Source organism: Homo sapiens, chromosome 15, assembly GCF_000001405.40.
Source record: "Homo sapiens chromosome 15, GRCh38.p14 Primary Assembly".
NCBI lineage: Eukaryota > Metazoa > Chordata > Mammalia > Primates > Hominidae > Homo > Homo sapiens.
The window spans coordinates 61,028,486-61,051,975 of record NC_000015.10 but is presented as its reverse complement, the minus strand read 5'-3'; the positions used below and the strand labels follow the sequence as shown (position 1 = coordinate 61,051,975).

General features: G+C 41.8%; 1 protein-coding gene and 1 long non-coding RNA gene across 14 annotated transcripts in view, besides 1 other annotated feature; both read left to right on the top strand.

The window, feature by feature from the left end:
* RORA (RAR related orphan receptor A) overlaps window positions 1–23,490 on the top strand; it is a 741,019-nt gene that overhangs the window by 177,327 nt on the left and 540,202 nt on the right. The gene's annotated exons all lie outside the window — the stretch shown is intronic.
* LOC107984805 (uncharacterized) overlaps window positions 1–23,490 on the top strand; it is a 129,290-nt gene that overhangs the window by 83,602 nt on the left and 22,198 nt on the right. For 9 of the 12 annotated variants that reach the window (XR_007064660.1, XR_007064657.1, XR_002957761.2 and 6 more), the window contains one exon: window positions 10,842–17,137. This is a non-coding gene — a long non-coding RNA (uncharacterized LOC107984805). The remainder of the gene's footprint in view (window positions 1–10,841; window positions 17,138–23,490) is intronic. The other 3 variants (XR_007064655.1, XR_007064656.1, XR_007064658.1) reach the window with 3 other exon arrangements.
* Window positions 1,853–2,012: a silencer, noted in NCBI's record as "silent region_6501". NCBI's record gives its function as "represses an Ori minimal core promoter by ATAC-STARR-seq in GM12878 lymphoblastoid cells {active_cell/tissue: GM12878}" and the evidence as "EXISTENCE:reporter gene assay evidence [ECO:0000049][PMID:35858748]".

The following is a 23,490-nucleotide window of genomic DNA, read 5'->3' as shown; positions in this document are numbered from 1 at the left end:
GCAGGTTATTGCAGCCACAATAGGATGTAAGAGGAGGTGCACCCTCCCTTTCTGCTGAAAGGCAGAAATGGAGGAGGGGAAGTGTCTGTTGTATGTTCCTTGGTAATTCGTGCTGCAGAGTTGGACTGCTCCCTCTTAGCTTGAAGACACTCATGTCCCCTGAGGCTCACGGGAATGGTCAGTGAGGCCACAAGAAATGTTTTGAAGCCCAGGCGGAGACTTCAGATTCCTTTGCATGTAGAAGTGTTGGCCAAAAATAGCAAATACCAGTCCTTTCCGAAGCCTCTCCCACTCTCTGGGATGCAGACAGTACAGGCAAGCATCACTAGGTGGCACAGCTGTCCTGGTGTCTTACTCTCATGGAGCCACACTTAAAACTGCTGTGGGATGCTTTGATGAAATACCCGATAGGATTCCTGTCCAGAAGGTGCCAATACAGAGCATTCAGGTCAAGTGGAGGATTCTTTTCGCAGGGGATCACTGGATTGACTCTAGGAGAAAGAGAAGCTATGCATGCCGCAAACACCTGCACACCACCATTCATCCTGCCCAGGCTGCTGCTGAGTGGAGCTCAGGCTTGCAAGTTTGTGGATCAGTGTGCCCCACAAAGCGTGCTTATCTCTGCCTCACCCCCTAGGGGGAGTGGGGATAGGGGTAGTGGAAAGTAGGTAGCCAGCCCCTACTTTCTGCTGTTCCCACTCCAAAATGTACATATTTGTCAAAACCTTCCAGATTCCTTCTGAGTGGAGGATGTGGCAGTATCACCTTCTGTCTACCCTGAGTGCCTCACTCCCCTCTTCCTTCTGCCATCCTTCCACACCCTGCTCAGATGCAGCCTTCTGAAGATCAGTCCAGCCCACGATACCCTCCCTGCCACCTGAGGTGCCATAGCATTACGTTGTGTGGTTGTTGAGTCAGCAAACATGGGCTGTGTGTCAGAGCCTAGAGAGCACTACCCTCTCCACTACTTCTGTCACCTCTGGGGAAATGCAGAGGATATATGCTGCCCCTAAGCAGCAGCCACTATAACGTGGTGGTTAGCTGACCAACAGACTTGTTTTGGCTCTTGTTCACCACCTACTAGGTATGTGCTTTATTTTAATAAGTTAGTCAACCTAAGACTTGGTTTCCTCACCCATAAACTGGGATAATAATAGTACCTATTCATTATGATAAGAATTAAAGAGCAATCCTTCATGGAAAGCAACTGGGATGGTGCCTGGCACATAGTAAGTGCTCAATAAAGCAGGTCTTACTCTTATCGCAGGAGAAGGTATCACAGCCAAGACCAACCCCTGACTCTTGTGACTCTGCGCCCTGTGTATGTTTTACTCTTACACATGCTTGCATTCTTTCTACTATGCCATATTGCCTCCTCTTAGTGTTTAGAACATCTCTTGCCCCCCAGTTGTTTGTGCCTTGAGTTCTCTTTTTCACAAACTAGCTTGGGAGCTCCCTGAAGACAGAGACCATATAGAATTACACAGTGTCCTTCTACTTTATTGTCACGATGCTTTAAGAGAGTTATTGACTGTAATTATTAAATTCTAACCATGGAAAACTTCTCAATGTTGACTTTAAAAATTGTTTGAAATTTTTTAGAATTATTGATATCATGAGTGAAGTAGGTTCCCAAACTATATTTCAGAGGACAAAGTTTGTACACGTTTTCCGTAAAGGGCCAAAGAGTAAATATTTTAGACTTTGTGAGCCACGGGTGCGTGTCTCATGACTCATCGCTGCGGCTGCAGTGTGAAAGCAGCCATGGACGGCATGTACACAAATGAGGTTGGCTGTGGGCAGTGAAAATTTACGAAAACAAGCAGTGGCCAGATCAGACCACATGGGCAGTAGTTTTCTGACCCCTGCTCTAGGAGGTGATAAAAAGTGTTCAGGGAAATGGGTTCTGTGGTCATATCAAACGTGTTGGCTATATATTGATTTGAGTCATCTCACTGCACAGCACTCATTACCATATTAAAAGCCTCTGAGAAGTCCTGCAGTTAAGAAGTACTTGGGCCGAGTGCCGTGGCTCACACCTGTAATCCCAGCACTTTGGGAGGCTGAGGCAGGCAGATCACTAGGTCAGGAGTTCGAGACCATTCTGGCTAACACAGTGAAACCTCGTTTCTACTAAAAATATGAAAAATTAGCCGGGTGTGGTGGTGTGCGCCTATAATCCCAGCGACTCAGGAGGCTGAGGCAGGAGAATCACTTGAACCCGGGAGGCGGAGGTTGCAGTGAGCTGAGATCATGCCATTGCACTCCAGCCTAGGCGACAGAGGGAGACTCCATCTCAGAAAGAAAAAAAGAAAAAAGAAAGAAAGAAGTACCTGTAGCTTTGTCTGACCTATAGTTTCCCCACTTCCGTAAGTGTGGAATATATTGTCCATAGCCTATCAGTGCGTTAACATCCTGCAGACTGGTACTCCTCATGCTACCAGTTAGAAATGCTGGATTTTTTTATGTTGACTCACAAAAGTCCACCTACTGTATTTTTTATGGTAGCATCTTTGCATTTATAGTATTATTATTTTCGTTTGAGGACATGGACTTGTATGATCACTGAATTCTGCAACTTTGTGTTTGTCCACCGAAAGAATTTGGCACCTCATCAGAAACGAGCCTCATGCATTAAATCCAAATGGGAGGATGTTAGACGGGGGGATATCACCATGCTCATCTCTGTGCTGAGCTCCAACGTAAGTGGGAGTTCTGAGAAGCCGTGTGGTTTAATACATCTGTCTCCTTGGCTGCTGTGCCAGCTTTTCATGACAGTGCTTTTCATCATCTGAAACATGTAATTGCTTTTGACGACAACAAGAGAATTGTGGCAGGAGAACTCTCCGCAGTTTCCGAAAACACTGAGCCTCCAGCATTTCAGGTCCAGTCAACTTCAGCAGATGTGGTGTTGGGACACGAGGGTGTTCAGATGTGTGGGGGTGTCCAAGGGGGAATGATTCAGAGCCACTGCCTCAGTTTTTAAAGTAAGGATTCGTGGATAGTCTTTGTCCCCAGTACAAAGGCATAGCGGAAAACCAAAGTGGAAGATGGTGTGGAGGAAGAGGTTCAAAGGTGATTTTGTTTTTTGCATCAGGATGATCCTTGACTGTGTCTGAGGCCAAAAGTAAGTCTTGACTCCCATGAAACTCCAGGAAATGGCCGGCACTTGAAGAGCCGTAAAGAAGCAGCCCAGACCTCACTCTCCTGCCAGCCCCTACTTAAAACCACCCCTTAGGCTTCCCACACAGATGAGAATTGTTCAGGGGGACTCTATGGGTCCTGTTGGACTCGACGTCAAAGTGTCCTGAGTCCTGAGCTTATGACATTTCTACAACTGCACACAGCAGCAGATAGTCCCTGTCAGGCAGAATAATCGGAAACAGGCTGGCTTCTCCGCCATGACGCTCACCGGGCTTTCAGGGCAGGGGCTGTCACGAAGATATCTGGGGTGTGGGGCAAAAGGAAAAACAGTTCCCCCGGGACAGGAGTCTTGTCCTCTCTGCCGTGTGACTCTTGACAGAGGGCAGAGACCCTGCATCTGGAGTGTGCCTGTGCCTCTCTCACCTCCATGGTCTTGCTGAGCCGCTAATGCCTCAGAAGGCCTGGCTCACTGGAAAGATGAAACCAGGACACAGTGTTCAGGTCTCGTTTCCTGGGATAAAGTGGGTACTCAGGTAAGCAGAACTGGATAACCTAGGAACAAGTTATCAAAGGCTTACGCATGAGAACAGGCCAAGCAGACCTGCATATAATTTCATCAGTAACACCAGCATAATCTTACTTAAAGTATTGTTGATATTATTTAGTTTCAAATAGAATTTAAAGGGAAGAAGTATGAAGGATAGTGACTTAAAGTACACAGAAACTGTTGTACAGTTTTGAACACCCAGGTTACACACTTTATTCAAATGCTGGTAGCCTCTTTTAGGTGTGTGTTTTCTTTTCCAAAGCCATATCTAAATGCTTACTTACATAAACACGTGAGTCACCTCTGCATTCTGGGGAGTTTTAACGTTGCTCATTTTTGCCACAATAGGAAGAAGTGTCTTGGTTTGGATGGTTCTGTCGTGGAAAATGGGTCCGCAAGAAATGCTTGTTGAATGAATGATGATATCTCCCTTTTAATAGCTGGGAAAACCAAGGCAAAAAGTCATGGCCGGAGGACCACACTTCACTTCCTCTGCTTCTCTTTCTGGGTCTATTGCATATATAAATAATTTGGGGGCAATAAAGGATTGGAATTTTATGTGTACTATCAGATGCCAAAAAAGGGGAAAAATGTTAAACAGTCATTTTAAAAATGGAACAATACCGCAAAATGAGTGATGCTTCAGATTTTTCATTGAATTTTGTTTTTGTTTTTGTTTTTGTTTTACCATTCTCGACACCTTTATCCTGATTTATGTCTCAAGAACAAGGGAAGAGACACTCCAAGGAGAAGTTCCATTTGCCCTTTTAAGAAGGTAGAGAACACATTGAGGCTGTAATTACCAAGCCCTCTAGAGGCACTTCTATGGTGTTAATGCATTTTATGCCCTCCCACTTGCAAAAACCCAAGTCCTGTTGCTTTCCTCTTCAGGAAAAATGTGAGTATAGAATGAGAAAACTGGTCTTCCTTTTGAAATCGTTTGAGAGTAAGGGAACACAAATCAGTCCCCTGGTCAGTCTGTCTTATTTCCTAATCCTGTGTGGCAAGGGCTTCTGCAGGGGGCCCAGGCCATGTGCCAGGTGACCTGAAGAGAGCTAGTGCAAATCCCTGGATGCTGGGCATAAGGACGGTCAGAACCCACTCATCCATGGCATCAAAGAAGGCCCTCTGTGGTTTTGAAGGCCGCTCAGCATGCCAGAGACCCAGACCCCTTCTAGAATAAAAAGAGAGAATCCTTATAGGTTTCACACCAGAGGTGGCTGTGGAACGGCTGGTTGCCCCAGTCAAGGTAAGAAATGAAGGACTAGGTAGAGCTGCCTCAGCGGTTGAGAACTCCGAGGCAGCCATTTCGAGCAAAAGATGCTCTCCAAGAAGGGCCTTGAGCTTGCAAATATCAATTCCACTTTGACAAAGTATGCTGTTTGGCAGGAGGCTGGCTCTGAATACCTCCAAGAGTCCTCGTTTTTCATCAGAGCAGCCTCGAAGTCAAAAGAACCTTACTTCAGGTTGACACCAGAGGAGGCTGTTTCTTCCCTCTCTGTTGAAGGCTGTTTTTTCCCTCTCTGTTGAAGGCCTGTTGGCATCTGTTATCAATTCTAGCTCCCTTTCCTCAGTTCAGTCCTGGATCCTGCTGTGTAATATTCCACCCAGTCCAGCTGGGGTTTGTTGATTTGCTTAAAAAATATTAAGCAACATTTGTCAGAGGCACCTTGCTGCTTGGTATAGGGACCTGGGGATCACCCTGCATTTGCATGAACATCTCTGCAGTACCCTTCCTGCGGCTCGCCTCTGGCTCACTCAGGTGGATCTCTAAGCTGCTCCAGCATGGTGGCAGCAGGATGATTGCGACACTCAGTTCCATGTGCCCACGACCACCTTCCCCTTTGTGAGAGGCTTATTGGCTAATAGAAACCTGCTGGCTGTCTCCCCACCACCTCTCCTGGCGGAGACTATTCCCTAGGACAATTATCAAAGCTGAGAAAGAGCTGACCATGTTTTGCCAGAATGGGGTGAAGGAAGTTGAGTTTGCACAAGGGCCATCCTGTGTGTACAGTGCCCTCCAGCCAGACGTAGATTCCTCTTTTTCCTCATGCTAATTAAAAGGGAAATTTATTTAAGACATACCTTCATATTTCTCTCCACTACCTCCCCTGCCCTCCTTTCCCTCTCCCATGCACACATGTAGCTTCTGGTGGAACTTCTGAGACCTAACTGCTTCCTCTCACTTCCTCCCCTTTTCTCCGTTGATCTATCCTGTCCCCGGATTTCTCAGTCCTTGCTTTCTTTTCTCTCTGCTCCCCACCGACCTTCCAGCCCTCTCTTGTTCTGGTCTGAGGTTGTTGCAGTGGGGGTTGCAGATGTCTGGGGGAGACTGCCAGGAGACAGAGACAATAGTTGTGCCTGTTGTTCTCTGCATGCCACGAAGTCCTTTTCCCTTAGCATTTGCTTCTGATTTAAGGGGGAAAAATATGGCTTTATGTGTTTTTATAGCTAAAGTGATCAGACATTCCGTTTGTGTTGAGATTTTAGGTCTAGAAAGGAATGGAATGGGGAGTAGGGATGTAGGCCAGTCCCTTGTCAGATTTTTGATTTGCTGGACACTGCAGTATGCCTTGAGGCCCAGCCTCTCCCTGACTCCTGGCCAGGGCCTGCCCTCATTCTCTGCACTGTCTGACCTGTTCTAGGGTCTTCTTCTCCCCTCTATACCTGGTACACCCCTTGGATGATCTGGGCACCTTGTGATCCCAGCACAAGCAGTGCTATGCAGCTTGGGTGCCTCAGAGTACTCACCTTCCCCACCTTCTGTCCTTGTCTCAGCCTTTTTACTTCAGCGCAGCAATTGAAAGATGCTGCCCCATACTCCCCAGCTTCTCAGTCATTAAAGTGCTTAACATTCAGCCGGAGGTCTGTTTATAACCCAGGTATTCCCGAGACTGAGTGCTGTATAAAGGAAAGAGGTTTAATTGACTCACAGTTCCACATGGCTGGGGAGGACTCACAACCATGGCGGAAGGTGAATGAGGAGCAAAGTCACATCTTACATGGCGGCAGGCAAGCATATGCAGGGGAACTCCCCTTTAGAAAACCATCAGATCTGGTGAGACTTATTCACTATCATGAGAACAGCATGGGAAAGACCCACCCCCATGATTCAATTACCTCCCACCTGGTCCCTCCCTGGACATGTGGGAATTATGGGAGCTACAATTCAAGATGAGATGTGGGTGGAGACACAGCCAAACCGTATCAGCTACTAAAATGAAAGGTGATTAATCTGATGAGTATATCAATATTAACTGAGCTAAGGAGAAAGCCAGGGACAGCCCTTCACATTTTCCCGAGTGCCCCCAAGTACAGCAGCTTCCTAGACATAACTCATTTATTCATTCAACAAATATTTCTCAAGTGCCTCTTGTGTGCCAAGTAATGTTTTAGACCCCAGGGCAGTGCTTCACAGACTTTAATGTGCATGCAGATTACCTGGGGATCTCTGAAAATGCAGATTATGATTCAGTAGGTCTGGGATGGGGCCTGAGATTCTGTATTTCTAGCAGGCTCCTGGTTGATACACATGCTGCTGGGAAATGGAGCAATCATACCTGATGAGTGTCTAGAACAGTGCTGTCCAGTGGAAATATAGCGTATATATGATAAGCACAGACACAGTGTTAAATATTTGTGTGACCATGTTTTTTAAGAATTGAAAAGAAAAAGGTGGAATTAATTTTGGAGATACATTTTTTAACTCAATATATCCAAAATAGTACAATTTTAATGTGTAATTCATGTAAAAAAATTGAGATATTTTTATTCACTTCCAACTCAGGTGTGGATTTTGCACTGACAGCACATTTCAGTTGGGACTGGCCAGGTTCAAGTGCTCGGTGGCCACAGGTGGCTGGTAGCCACTGTATTAGCACAGGTCCAGATAATGTCCTCATCACAGGGCGACTCGGCAGAGTGACTCTGAGAGGAGCGGAAGGTGACATCAAGGTGTCTCTGAGAGGAGCAGAAGGTGATACCAAGGGCCTGGCATTTGGGTTACAGGGCCACGTGGCCTCCTCACTTGAGGAGCAGTCTGAAAGGCATGAATCTTAGACCAGCGAACTTCCCATCCCCTTGAGGAAAAATGAAATAAAAACCTCAGGACACAAGCACAGTCTCTTCCTAGCAGAGGAAGCTAATTGCTTTGGGGTAGGCCAGATTTCCTTTCCTTCCCAAGTGTTATGCCCATCCTGCTTCATTAAAATGGAATCTCTTTAAACCCTACAGGTGAGTTAGGGAGGGGGTGGGAGGAGCCTGGGGTCCGTGTTTGTGGCTCTTTTTAGGTTTGTTTCTGATGTCCAATCCTTTGAGCACAGCTTTGCTCTGGGAACCAAATCCTGACTTGTGCATTACTGCAAATTCTCTTGAAGTTTCAGACTGCTTGGGATAATCTGGACACAAGAGCAGGCTACACAGTGCTTAAGAGTCACCACCTGTCGTACCAGCCAAACAAAGCAAAGGGACCAGGTTAGAGGAGTTGGGGACATTAAAAAAAAATAAAACCCTTTGCTTCCTTGCCTCCTGCCTTCTTCTATAGTCCCTAGCCCCTGCACTCTGTGCTTTTATAAGTATATTAGAAGGTACTTTATCTTTACTGGCAGTGTATTGGGATGTGGCAAATGTACCTGCCGTGGGAGGGAACTGTATGACAGGCATAAACCCAGGCCACAGTGCATTTCTATGGTTAGGTGGAATTAGCTCCAATGTCTGATGTCCAATTAGCTCTGATGTCCAGGTATTTAAAAATTACTCTATTAGAGTAATACATTCTGAAATAGCGTTTAAGGGCTGGTCTAGTGACAGTAGAAAACATTTATGTAGCACTTCTTGGTTATGTTTTTAACCTTCTCTCATTTCATTTTTACAAAGTTCTTGACAGGTAAGTATTTTCTGGAGGAGGCAAAAGGACTGAACTGGAGTTCTCATCTGTGAGATGAGGAGTTGGGAGGCATGGATCTCTCCAGTCCAATTTGTCCTGTACTCTGTCATCTGTGGTTGACTTGTGCATTTGAATGTCCAGGCCCTGTGGGTTAGAGTGTTAGCTCTGAGGTTAAGTTACCTAGATTGGACGTGGGGCAGAATGTTTGCCCTCTGTAAATATCTGTTTTTCCATCTCTAAAATGGGAATGATAATTGCACCCACCACCTAGGGCTGAGATAGCATTAGATGAGATCATCTGTGTAAAACGCTTTTTAAGTTCTTAGAAGTCTTCCCATCACCATCATCGCCATTGTCATCGCCATGTCCATCACTCTCAGCCTGCTGTCTGTGTCTGACTGCAGTTATAAACAATGTGAGCAGGATGAAGGATATGCATAAACTTGCCCTTGCTCAGTTTCTCTGCTATCCACATACCCCAGTGCACTCTTTGATGCATTGCTTTAGAAGGGGAGAGTCTGGGTGTCTTTGCTACTGTTTCTATTTCCGTAAGAAAAATGGCCCATGAAGAAACTTAAAAACTGCAAGTTTGAATTTCTCCAGGCAGGCAAAAATGAGGTAAATAAAGTAAAGGACTTGGCTGGCAATTCCCAAAGAAGCAGGCTATGGAGGGACGAGGTCCCGAGTAGGTAGGAAGGCTTATCGAGAGAAGCTGCTGGTTCATGCACTGGCATCATCCGCTATTGAGTTATCTTGTGTCCGCTCAGCCAGCTAAGCACAAATTAATCTCTCATGGCTGACCAATTACGTACAGTCTTTTGTGAGAAAACAAGTTAAAAGAAATGCATTAGGTAAAGAAAGGGCTAGCAGCTCTTGAGGTGGGAGGAGGGTGGGCTCACACAGTGTTAGAAAGCATTTAACTACACATCCGTACTCCAGCGGGTAGTATCAGAATGTGTCTGAAAGTAACGATATCTAATTGTGTGTTTGTGTGTTTGTGTGTATGTGTGTGTGTGTGTATTTATTCATTAGGACTAGGGTGACCAGGCACCCTTGCCATCTTGGAACAGTTCCAGGTTACCACTGTTGTCCCTGGATAATTATTGATAGCACCTTCTTTCATGGTTTGGACAATAAATTATATGGTCACCTTAATTAAGACCACATAGCCTATCTGTATATATAACAAATACACATGATTTGTCATGCTTGGAAAAGTCTAATAGGCTATTGTTGAGGTATGCCTTTTTTGTTTTCTCTAGAAACATAAAATCAAAGTTGTATTCCGGAAAGGATTTAGCCTTTGGAAAAAGGCCAACCTAGACGCTATTGTAGAGAATGGCTGAGTGTGGTAGTTAAGAGACGAGGGTCTGATGCTGATCACGCAGGTTCCAGCCCCAGCTCTGCTATGTATCAGCTGTGACTCCTTGGGCAAGTTATTTAACCTCTCTGTGTTTGTTCTGTGACCTCTGAAAAGGGCATAGAGGTACCTACCTCATAAGATTAAAAGGAGGATTCAATGAATTAATAGTTAACACACATGAAACTGACTGACGTTAAGTCCTTAGTAAATATTTGCTATTACTTTAGTCCCAGCTTTATTGTTCATTAGCTGTTGGGGCATGGGGATGAACCTCTCTGAGCCCTATTTCCCTCATCTATAAAATGAACATACTAGCTGGGCATGGTGGCTCGCGCCTGTAATTCCAGCACTTTGGGAATGTGAGGCAGGAAGATCCCTTAAGCCCAGGAGTTCGAGGCTGCAGTGAGCTATGATTGTGCCAGTGCACTCCAGCCTGGATGACAAAGTGAGAGCTGTCTCTAAAATAAATAAAGTAAATAAATGAATAAAATAAAATGAACCAATGAATTTCCACCCCCTGGAAATATAATAAGCTTCAAATGAGATAAAATATGAAGAGTTTAGTGTGGCGCCTGGTTGTCAATGGATGCTCGACAAATGTTAATTTCTCCTCCTTTTCTTACTGCCTTCCTTCCTGCTTTCCTCCTTTTTTCTAATAGGATGGAAAGCACCTCTGATAGCTCATTGAATTCATCTCTCCTCCAGTTTGCTTGTTTCATGGAAGATTTAAAGTTGTTTTCTGTGACGTCACTGGCATGAGGCTGTGAAACCTACCAGTGAGATAAGTTAAGCTTCCTAAGGGTTACCTCTGTCATCTGCATGATGCAGAAAGACTGTGAGCCTGGGATGTGTGTAGTGATGACAGGCAAAGAGAGTTTTAAAAGTTGTCTTAATTTTTACAGGCTTCTGGAGGATCTGTTGCTGATTGCACTGGTGAGTTTTGGGTTTTTTTTCCATCTCCCCATTCCTGACTGTCTCCCCTATGGTTCACCCAATGTCTATGAGTTATTTTAGCTTCCAGTAATATTTCCATTTCAGTCAAAACAACAATGAAATAAGCCTGGCAAAGAAAAATCTATATGATAGCTGGTTTTACAAAGGAAGGCATAATTACAAAATACTATAGTTGCTTTTGGTTTCTGTGGGGTCAACAACACCTAACCAAGAGTTTTATCAATAAAAACAACCTTTGAAAAAATGAGTGATTATTGATTATGACTATAAAGTATAGATCTTTTGAAGTATCTGCATTCATTCAGCCTCCAGATGGATGAGTTTTTACTTGTCTGTAATCCATCCATCCATCCTTTCATTCATTTTATTTATTCGATGAATATTTTTAAGTGCTTTGTGCCAGGTACTGTGACACGTTCAGGGGATGAAATGGCAAAAAAAGAACTGTATTTGTCCTCATAGGGTGTACGGTCTACCTAGTGTACACATCACATGCTTGTCATCATTTAAACACACTCCAAGACTCATCAAATGTCCTGAAATGCATCAGAAAAAGAAAAAAAAATAAAGCCCGGAAGGAAATGGAGGGAAAAGATCAGTATTACATGTAGAAACAGGCAAAAAGCTTTATATCAATGTTTTGCGAGAAGATAAAATAGGTATCGTGAGCTGAGGTCAGGCAAGCAGACTAGAGAAATGAAGCAAGCATTTCATGTGAAAGCTTCCAAACTGTTCTTTTTGCAATTACTAGTTTTAGCTCAAGCCTGAACCCATATTCTTGCTTTGCTTTTTCACCTCATTTGCCTTAGACAAATTCTGATGGGATGTATTAGTGTCCCATATACCACCTACCTATTTAAGATAAAGCCTACTTACAGCTAATAGAAAGTGGCACTATAATGTATATTTCATATATTTTATATATATATATATATATATATATATATATATATATATATATATATATATCAAAGCTTGTGATCATAGCCATTAGAATTATGTTCTTGTAATATGGGTGATACACACAATTTACGAAGTTGGAATGTTTGGGGAGGAATGTAATTGGAAAACTACCATCAACAAAATGGCCCAAATTCTTTACCAAATAGCATTAGTTAACCAATGTTTTCTAACACTGATTGGCAAAGAAAGTGCATCAGAATTACCTGGGTCCTTTGTTAAAAAGGCAGATTCCTGGGCCCAGCCTCACCTGCTGAATGAAAATGTCTGGAGGTGGGATCTGGGGATTTGCATTTTTAACAGATTTGGTAAGTTCCCATGCACATTGAAGTTTGCAAACTATCAAGCTGGTCCATCTATTTTTTTTTTTTTTTTTTTGAGACAGAGTCTCACTCTGTCGCCCAGGCTGGAGTACAGTGGTGCAATCTTGGCTCACTGTAACGTCCACCTCCCAGGTTCAAGTGATTCGCCTGCCTCAGCTTCCTGAGTAGCTGGGATTACAGGTGTGCACCACCACACCCAGCTAATTTTTGTATTTTCTTAGTAGAGACAGGTTTCACCATGTTGGTCAGGCTGGTCTCGAACTCCTGACCTCGTGATCTGCCTGCCTCGAACTCATGACCTCGTGATCTGCCTGCCTCGGCCTCCCAACCATCTGTTTTACCAAGGAAGAATGTGAACCTCAGCCTCAGAGAACTGTCTCTGAGAAATGGACAAAGCAATAATGCAGTAAAAAGAAAAAAGAAAGAAACCAGACACCTTTCAGATTCTTCACAATTCCCAAATGCCAACATTTCTAACATTTGAGGTTGACAAGAGCCCAACTGTATTTTGCCAGATTTTTCCCCTCAAATTTTACCTCCCTCTCCCAAGCATTTTTAGGGAATTCAGTCCATGTGTTCTTGATAGTCCTGCACTAAACTTATCGAAAATGTCATTTTGTAACAGTGATTTGGTTGCCCTGTAGTGTTTCAAAATCTTTTGTTCCTCCTTAGAAACCAGAAGTTGTACTTGGCCAAGGACGAGCTAACCCCAAACAGCAAGAGGTTTGAGTTGGCTCCAAAGCACAAGCCTCACAAATATCCCGTGAGTCTCCCACAGGCTTGGGGCTCTCTGTTTAGAATTAGAACCTAATCTTCAAATATCCCTTTACCCTCTTGCCTCAAAAAGGAAGGCAGTGAAGAGCAGCAGCAAGGCATCCTGGATGAGCACTGGAAGGGGAGAATGCTCATGTTTTAGTCGTGGGCTTTCCACCAGTTAGCTGTGCAGCTTTGGGCAGATACTTGAACTTCTCTGGTGCTCTGTTTCTTCATGTTTAAATGAGAGGATTAAACTGTATGACTTTTGGGTCGAAAGTACGTCTCTGCCATCAGTATCATAACAATTATTGAAATTGCTGCCTAGAATCTTCCGCTACCACAGTGTATTTTGATTGGACTGTTTATTGCCTTAGCAAACACAATGCAGTGCTGTGTCTTTGGCATCTTGCCAGGAAAGATGAGCCAATTTTCTCGTGTTGCTTCTGGATGTCAAAACATTCTCATCTGACCATGCCACAGAAGAAGTTTGTTGAGAGTGTGACTGACTGACATAATGACTGATTGGCTGATAACGGCAGCTGACAGTGATTGATTGAGTGTAAAATTATCTGTTCTCATTACTTCTGAAATTGAATTCAGATTGGTTCTATTGGAGGGTTTCCATGGAGACCATAACCTGCTATAGCAAGTGTTTGTGGATGCAATGTTTTATTGTGATCAATACCTGTTTCCTCTGCTGGTCCAAAGAAATTATTAATGATTATAGTCAAGTAGAAAGAGGCAACCATATATAAGAAGAAAAAAACTCTCATATTTTGTCTCATTGCTACATAAAACAAATGTGGGCCTTCCCAGACTTGCGCTTTGGCTAACTAGTTCATAATACGTTCGATAACTTGCCATTCTTCTTTTGCTATTAATGCAGAGGGTTTGCTTTGGAAAAAAGAAAAGTATTTCTAGGACTCTTTCTCTCTTTGAAGAAGATCAGAATAATAGACGAATGTTCATACTTGGTTTTTTTTTAAATGCGATGTTACAGAAACAACAAACATTTAATCAAATCTTAAACACACCCATGTTAATGCAGAGACAGAGATGGTCCCTCAGGCTTTTTCTGGGTTGTTTCCATGAATGATAAAGTCATTAAACAATTTCATAGGCTTGCCTTATTGATCTCTCACAATGGCATGCTATGTCTGCTCTTCAGGAAAGCCTTTCCTGACTGCCCCCATCAGAGTTAATTACTACTTACTCTGTGTTCGCATGGCCTTCTTCCATCTTCTATTATAGCATTCATCTCAGGCCACCTTGCCTTACAATTACTTGTATCTCTTTTTCCCACTAGATTATGACCTCCTTGAGGACAGGGTGATTTTCTTGTTGCTCTTTGTATTATCCTCAGCATCTAGGTGAATCTCTGATACATCACAAGGGTTCAATAAATGCTCATTGAATTGAATTAACTGGATCTGCATTCCAAGGTCATCTCTTCCTAGACTGGTGTTGAATGGGATTCCCATGAAGTGAGGCAGCAGAGTGCGTGCTTGCTGGTTCTGTTGCTTTGTCTCCTGCCCTGTGGCTGCGTCTGTGCCCAAGAGGATTGTTAGGATATATTGTGCTACAGGAGATTGATATTGTATAGGATGTCTGTACAGCTTATAGACTGGTGCTGACCGTACTGAAATGATGGTGGGAGGATACCTAATAAGGATTCTATTTTATGCTTAGCTGTATTCATTCATTGGTTTGGTTGGAATCTGCTTCAGCGTACTTCCTCTACCCAAATTTGGCTCATTAGCTGAAATCACTTTGGGATGAATCCACTGTTAATAGTGGCTAACATTTTTCATGCACTTACGACATGTCTGGCACAGTACTAAGTACTTTACATATTTTTCAATTCTTACACATTGCTCCCATTATCCCATTTTGAAGATAAGGAGACTGAAGCACAGAGTGTTTATTTCCTAAGGTCACACAGCTAGGAAGTAGAGGAGCTAGGATTTGAATTCCTATAGTCTAGCTTCCTACCCCATTCTTAAGCTATCTACCCTGTTGCCGCCTGACAAAAGTGTGTTTCAAAATTTAATTCCTGAACTGACTGCATCAAAATCCCCTGTAGTGTTTGTTAAAAGTGAAGATACCCCAAGACCTACTGATTCAGGTTGTTTTCACCGAGGCCAGCAAATCTGCACCAACATGTTTTATTCTGTTCTGTACCTCAAGCTTTGATGCTGCTTTGTTTTCTTGTTTTGGGAGAAGGGCAGGGGTGGGGGTGGAGGCAAGCGAGTCCAATACTACAACTTTAGAAATCTCTGCTCTAGGGTGAACACTCTCTTTGAGACTTCTAAATTAAAGTCAAGTCTTTTGGATTTTTGTTTCTTTGTACTGCCTAACTTTAGAAAGACCTGGAAGCGGTAACATGAAAACATTTTTAGAGAGAATTACCAGGCATTTTTGGTAGAATGAGTGTTTAATGGAACAGTCCAGAGAACTCATCAAAGATGTTTATTAAAACGCGCAGACCTGCTCCAATTAAGGGCCCAGTCAGTGGTGTTAACAGTGAAGGGACTGTTCCAGAGGCGTGCTGCACGGGACGCCCACCCCAAATACAAATGGTTTGCCAGTAGCTCACAAATGAACCCCATTGCCTTGCACTTAAGCTTCCTGAAGCACATACATATCCTGCTTTGTGCTTTCCGCCCTATAGTAAACGCAAACCAATGGAGATGTGAAGCAATCTAATAGCAACAAGGCAAACCTCTACTTCCTCTAAAGAGGATTGCATCCTCTTGCTATCTTTGCCGATGCTCTCCTACAGACCCATCCCTGTCATGTCTTTCCTGTCTTTCTAGTAGAATTCTGGCTGCTCCCGTAGGACCTCCTTGCGGGAATTTTCCCTGGTTGCTGCCTCCAAGGAGAGGCTCCCCACCAGAAAGTTTTAAGAGGCTTATGCTTCTGGGGTTAATGCGGTCCTTTCTGTCACCTTGTTTTCTGTTCCTAGTTATCTTTCGGTAACTTTTTTCCTAAACTACTCTGAAAGGCATAGACTGTCTCTTGAAAGCTCATCTGTTCTTAACCCCTTTCCCTCATTCCACTGACTGCAGCATCTTCCACATACCATTCCCTCTTAGCATTTATGTCCATGTCATGCTTTTGTTGGTTTATTTGTGTATTTTCTGCTTCCCACCATTAGATCATTTGTAGAATTAATGAATGCCTATGGGTTAATAGATTTTTCGCTGTATCCTCTTTTCTCTGTATCTCTCTGCCCAGTTGCTTAGAAATGCTTCTGTTTGTGTATTTGTATCCACCTTCTTTGGGGAGAGTTATGACCCTGGTCCTTATGCCATCAGTGGTATTGCAATTTTGTATGTAGCATGACCATTTTTAAAAATGACATTTCATAGTGAGTGATTCAGACACCTATCATTCAGCTTACCTGCCGGGGCCCTCCAAAATGAGCAGAAGGCCTCTGTCTCATTCTAGAAGCTTGAAGGTCTCCACGTGGTTTGCCCAGGGGCCCACAACCTCCCTGCAGTCCAGGAGTGCTCCCATTAACCCCAGCTGTGTGATTCAGACCAGATTCTTAGGACTTTTTAAGTGAAATGGGACAGAAAATTGCTTGATGTATTTTGCCACATGAAGTACATTTTGCTGCCGCTTAGTTCTTTATTGTCGTTAGATTAAAAACTCTCCTAACGTTGTGTGGGTAAGTAAAAATCTTTTTATTTTTATCTGGTATGTTTTGAAAAAAAGGAAAAAAGAAACTAGACATTGTCAAAATATTTGCTTAATCTTGCAGATTTGGGAAGTTGTATAGCCACTCGCTCTGACAGACCAGAACAATGGTCATTAAATGAGAAGCAGATGTAATAAAGTATGCAGTAAAAGCCTTCTATTATGGGCTGGAAGGGGAAAAAAATGAGTTGTTAACAGAACACAGTAAGCATTATGGAATAAATCAGAACAAAACCATTCCCAATTACTGTACAAAGATAATTAAAGTCTACAATGCTAATTAAGGTCTGTTTATATCTATTTCTGTTTGTGTACAAACATATGCGCATAGTTAAATATTTTCCATTGTTTTTTATGTGATGCTAACTTCATAGTTGAATTTTTCTGAATTTAACTTTTGTTTTTATGTTACCAGGAAGTACAATCTCCAGAAAACTGAAACTCCAGCTTTTCCTCCTTGATCGTAGCTTATTTTTCTTGGCTAACTTCAGAAAATTCTTCAAGTATGTAACACTACTTCCTTGAGTGGATTTTTTTTTTTTTTTTTTTTTTTGGTCTGTGATGTTTTTAGTGGAATCAACCAGGGTTCCCAGCCCCCACTATTAAAAAGAAAAAAGATTTTTTTTTTCCTTGAACTTGACCAACATGCACAATTATAGTCACACATCAGAGTTACACAGGATTACAAAATGTCTTTTGGATATAAATCTCAAATAAATTCAAACTTGAAGAAAAAGAAATTGGTAAATAATCCTCCCTACTGGCAGTTCCCCAGGGTTTTCTTCACAGACTATAAATATCACATAAATATTCCCTGACCTGTAAGCTATAACTTTTGGATGGATGTCAATGGTTTTTTAACAGGGAATAACAATGAACTGTAATTGTCGTTCAGAAGTGATCAGTTAAACAATTAGAAAGGCAACAGCTTTCAACTAAGATCCAGGAATAGCCTCTATATAGACTGACTCAAGCAGTCTGAGAAACGTAAGAAAATCACTTTGTGCCACCAAATAAATCAAGAATGACATTTTTAAAAGAAAATGCTAGATACTCCTTTTTTCCTTCTTTCAAACCCACCTGCTTCCTCTTTTTCCCCCTTAGTTTCAGTCCATCAAGGATTTTATATAGCTGCAATTTCAACACATTTCTTCCTTCTAGGATTAAACTGAAACAAAAAGAGCCTGTGTATGATACAGAACTTTAACAGTCTTTAAATAGCTTTGGCAAGCCTTCATTCTAGACCAGGACTGTCCAATTGAACTATAATGGAAGTGGCATATGTAATTTTAAATTTCCTAGTAACTACCTTAAAATGAATAAAAATAAATAGGTGAAATTAAGTTTGATAATGCAGCTTATTTAACGTAACATATCCAAAATATTTTGGTTTCAACATGTAACCAATATAAAATAATAGTTAATAAGATTTTTTTTTTTGAGACATGGTCTCACTATGTTGCCCAGCTGGTCTCAAAGTTCTGGGCTCAAGGAATCTTCCCACCTCAATCTCCCAAGTAGTCGGGACTATAGGCATGCACCACCATGCCTGGCTTGTTGATAAGATATTTTACATCCCTGTTTTCATACTAAATCTGGAAAATCTGGTGTATGTATGCACTTTACAGCACATCTCAATTCAGACTGGCCACATTTCATATGTGCAAAAGCCATGTGGGTTGGTGGCGACCAAATTGGACACCATAGCAAGTAAATAATACTTGAATAAGAACCACTATTAAGTTAATAAAATCTGTAGGCTTGAGTGTCTTATTTATATGGAGCTACTATCTAGGTCAATTTGGAGATAAAGAATGAATCACCCTCTGTCTCTCACTTGGTTGGTGATGGATTTGGAGAAAGAAAATGGCAGGAGGTCTTAACAAATTTGAAGGGTCCCACTGAGAGCAAAACTGGTTTTTGTTTTTTTTTTCAGAATAAAGCTATAAATTTGGGGCTCTTGAGTTTTGCTTGCAAGTGAGGACTGAACTGGAAGCATTGTTGGGGAGAATTAGTCCTCTCTGAACAATCTGAGAACAGAGGGAACATTTGGACTAAAGGAAAACTCAGCAGCACTCTCCCCTGATTGCCTGAGGCAGCTCTTGCCTCATGGAAGACCCGCTTTGCCTCTCCTGTTTGTTTTGTAGCCATAGACTGGAGCCTAAATTTGTTCCAAGCTCAGTGATCAACATGCACAAACTCCTTGGGGTATAGCCAAGAGAGCGTGGACTTTTATAATCTGATAGCCTTTGGTTTGAACAGCTGGGTGACTTGGAGCAAATTGCAGATCTGAATCTGTTCCCCGCTCTGTAAAACAGGAAAGGCAATGCCTACCTCGCAGAGTTGTTTGAGGAGTAAGTATCATAAAGTATTTAAAGCACCTGGCAAAGTGCCTGACACATAGTAGGCAGTCAATAAATTATAGCTATTATCATAATATAAATGTATACGCATGTAATATTTATATAGACATAGGTAATAAGAAAGGATTCCTTATTTTATTATTGTTCCAAATTGCTGCTGTGGCCTTATGCAGAAGGATCCCCTGTACTGCTCTTTGACCCATAAATGAAAACTAGTTTCCTAGTTTATGATCTTGTATGAAGATAATTCTTGCTGAAGCCAGGGCAGGAATAGGTAGATGTCTGGGCTGTGTTAGAAAACTCTTAAGCATTTGTTAGACTTAACTTTGGCCTCTTTTCATTGTTTTCAAAATGACTTTAGTTGTGAATGTAAAATGTTTCTAATATCCACCCTTGGTCCAACCTGGGTGTGTGATTACACTCCATATGATTGTCATGTGAAAAGGTGAAGTGGGCAATTTTGGTCTACTCCGTTGATCAAATATAGAAGTTCTTGATTTTTACCTCTTAGTGGCTTATAGTTTGAAAACCAACTTTTAATTTTTTCTCTTCTCTAATTCACTTTCAAGGTTGTGAGTTTAGCCAAATTTCATATGACTCAGTCTCATGCCCAGAAGGGCACTATTTGCAGGATTCTACTTGATTTGTGTATTGGGGGAGATATACCATTCTTCTTCAGTTCAACACTTCTGGCTTTAAATTACATTTGGGTCACATTTTATAGCTTTCTAAGGGATCTGTACAAATGGTAACCACAACTGGTAAAATGTGATGTAAGCTACTTGGAAGGGTTTTCTTTGGAATCCTACGTAATTTCAAGTACTCTGCATGTAATTTTGCTAGCCAGTCAATTAACTGAAGTGTTCTTCATGGGTAGAGCATGTGCTGAATTTGACATACATGCTTACGTGCAATAAGTCCCTTTCACAGTGTACTTCCCTTGTGACACAAAAAGACACTATTTTGAGACAAACCCTATCAGGTAATCAGCGATAAAATGACCATCCTTGGCAGATTAGGTAGGAGGAACATATATCTTCCAACTCTTCAGAAGAGAAGTAAGTGATAATGAAAACAAAATTATGAACAGTTTTACATAGTACACATGAACTTCTATATATAGTCTTTTGCATAAGAAGAGTCTCTAACCATTCCTGTGGTTCTTCTGTCATCCTCTCCATTTGCCCATCGTCGTGGAACAAGTAATAGCAGATTTATCCTTCCACGTCTTTCTCTTTGCTAATACAGATGTACATATGCATGGATACACATTTATAGGGAGTTCCTCTCTTTTTGGTGTGGAAATAGCATCATACCATGCATATTTTTTTCCACTGAACAGTACATCTGGCATACCTCTAAAAGTCAGTAGATATAGTTGTAACCCTTATCCTCCCCCAACCACCAATTTGCCAAGAAGAACTTTAACTACTTCATACATGTATGTCTAGAACATACACACAACCACATAGTACAAAACTTCAGCAACAATATCCCAGGAAGTTAGTTGCTTGCTGAGCTAAGTCAAGTCCTGGTTCAAATATGCATCTCAGGAAAACCAGACCAAGAGTGTTACCACTTGGTATATAATAGAAAAGAAATAATGCAAATAAATAAACTGGAGGCATAATCTCTTTTGAGCATTATAGATCCCAGATGAAGACGTGTGAAATAAAGGCATCCTTCACCTAGAGATCTGAAAAGAAAATAAATATAAATTACACTTTCATAAGTATCCCATTGTTTCACAAAATTTGGTATTCAAAAGGAATTTTTCTTTATATCATAATTGAGTTTCAGCTAGCTAATAATACTTTTGGATTTGATATTTTTATGCCGTTGTTTCTCTTACCCCTTTCTACTGCTCAAATCTTGTCAAGAGAGTGACAATTTGTAAATAAATTCAGTTTAGTTCAGTTAAACAGTTACTGATGTCAACTGTTTTGGTCTTGAAGTACTTGAATAATGATATTTTAAATAACCTGGGTTTTTTAATTAAAATGAAATATACATGTGTATGTGTGCATATGCATATTTTTTATACACACATATACATATACATAAACTGACTTTCATAGTTTTGTGAGTTTTAAACTATATTTTTCTAATATCCTTCACAATCATTTGCGTTTTTCTCAAAATTAATGGGGAAGAGATACTATAAAGTATAGCTTATCTTTTATTAGAAATAAACTTGCTTAGTAAGTTGGATATACACGCAACCTTAAAAATCTGTTTTAGATGCTACATTTTTTTCAGTTCTCGAATGTGCTTAAAAGTCACGGCATTGTTTTGTTCATAATCACCATCCTGTTATGGGCCCCAAATATGCTTGGCAATCTTCTAATTCTCTGATTGACTCATTTTCTCACACAACATGACAACTGTTTTAAATTTCTTCTCAAACTTCCTGTGCTTCAACTCTTCCTTCTCAGGACCTGTGCACCATGGATTATTCCTTCTCTTCTAAAACCCACTCTACCTCTCACATGGGTCATGCCCACTGGCTTACAGAAAAGTAACAAGACTAGTACAGATAAACTTAATTTTCTTCTCAATCATCTGAGAATAAGTTGCCAACCTCATGCCCCAATACCTGGAATACTTTAGTGTGTAATCCCTGTATACAAGGATATTCTCCTGCATATACATAATACAACCATCAATATCAGCAAATTAGCACTGATACATTATAACCTTCAAATCCTTTGACCCCGTTCAAGTTTCACCCATTGTCTCAATCAGGTCCTTTATAGCCAAAGGTACTAGTTCAGAATCACCTATTACATCTAGTTGTCAGGTCTCTTTAGTTTCCTTTAATGTGAACACTTCCTTAGCGTTTCCTTGACTTCCATAACCTTGACACAGATGATGACTCTAGGTCAGTTACTTCATGGAATGACCATCACTTTGGGTTTGTCTTATGATGAGATTCCAATTATGCAGTTTCAGGCTATGAAGTGTCAGGGCTCCTCAGAGCTCAGTCTCAAGCCTTCCTGTCATCTCACTGGGGCAGGATCATGCGTACTTATGCCTCCACTTGTCTCTCTTTAGGTGAGCCACAGATCCCCATCTCAAGCCCAGGCCTCTCCAGTGAGCTCTGGAATCATTGCACCCACTGTCTTCCTCGTGGCCCTTTTTGGATACCAAAGGCTTTGATCTCCATGTCTAAAACCAGACTCATTGTCTCCCTCTGACATCTTGGGCCTCTTACAGTGTCCTGTCTCCCATGGGTGCCACCACTATCCATCTTGTTATAAAACATGAAAACAAGAATTCTTTCCCCTTCTTTACCCTCAGATCCAGTCTGTCACCCTGTCCTGTTGATTTAACATCTTACACATCTTTCTAATCTCTTCACTTCGGCCCATCCATGCTACCTCCACCTTTGCCTTGGACTTTTGCAGCCTCTCAACTGGCCTACACATAAGCTTTCCAACTCCCTCCCGTCTGTACTCCTTACTTTAGCCAGAATGATCTTTTCACAATGTAAATTCCATTGTGTCCTTTCCTCTTCCCTCCACCTCTTTCCTGCTTAAAGCCCTCCAGTGCCACCCATTGCATTTAGGATAAACAGAACATCAACATGGCTGGCAGGGCCCTGTGTGGATTTGCTCCTGCTTCCCTCCTCAGTCTCATCTCAGGCCTGATCCTCCCTGGCCTTTTTTTTCTGTCTTTCCAATGGTGCTCGTCATGTGTCCTCCAACCACACACAGGAGCTTTGCTCCTCAGCTTGTCATTTCCCTAGGCTTGCAGTATTTTCACATAGATTTATTGGGATATAATTCACAGACCATCTGGTTCGGGTTGGTGTTTAGATGTTTTTTTTTTTAATTCACAGACCTCACAATTCACCCATCTAGAGTGTATAATTCAGTGTTTTTAATATATTCACAGAGGTGTGCAACCATCACCACTATCTTACTTCAGACCATCAGTACTATCTTATTTCAGAATATATTCATCACCCCAAAAAGAAACCTGTATCCTCTAGCACTCACTCCCCATCATACCCACTAGCAGTCACTCTTCAGCCACCACCACCCTCACCACCACCATCCCTCCTGTTCTGGACAATTTATGTAAGTAGAATCATACAATACTGTGGCATCTTTCCCTTAACATAATGTTTTTGAGTTTCCTCTGCATTTTAGCGTGAATCAGTACTTCATTTCTTTTTATGATGGAATATATTTCATTGTATGGACAGACTATATTTTATTTGCCCACGCATCAGTTGATAGACATTTGGGCCAGCCTTTAAATATTGAATTCAGCATCACTTCCTCAGTGAACTTTCCTGACCTGCATGACTAGGCCAGATCCTGCTAGATAGGGTTACTGCACTGTGTCTGTCACCTTGCTAGCATTTGTCATGGTTGCAATTCTACTTTTGTTTGCTTGATTCTTGGCCTAATTTAATGCTGGTCTTTTCTAACAGACTGTAAACTAGAGGGGGCAGGTACTGTATCTGCTTTGACTCACCATGATAT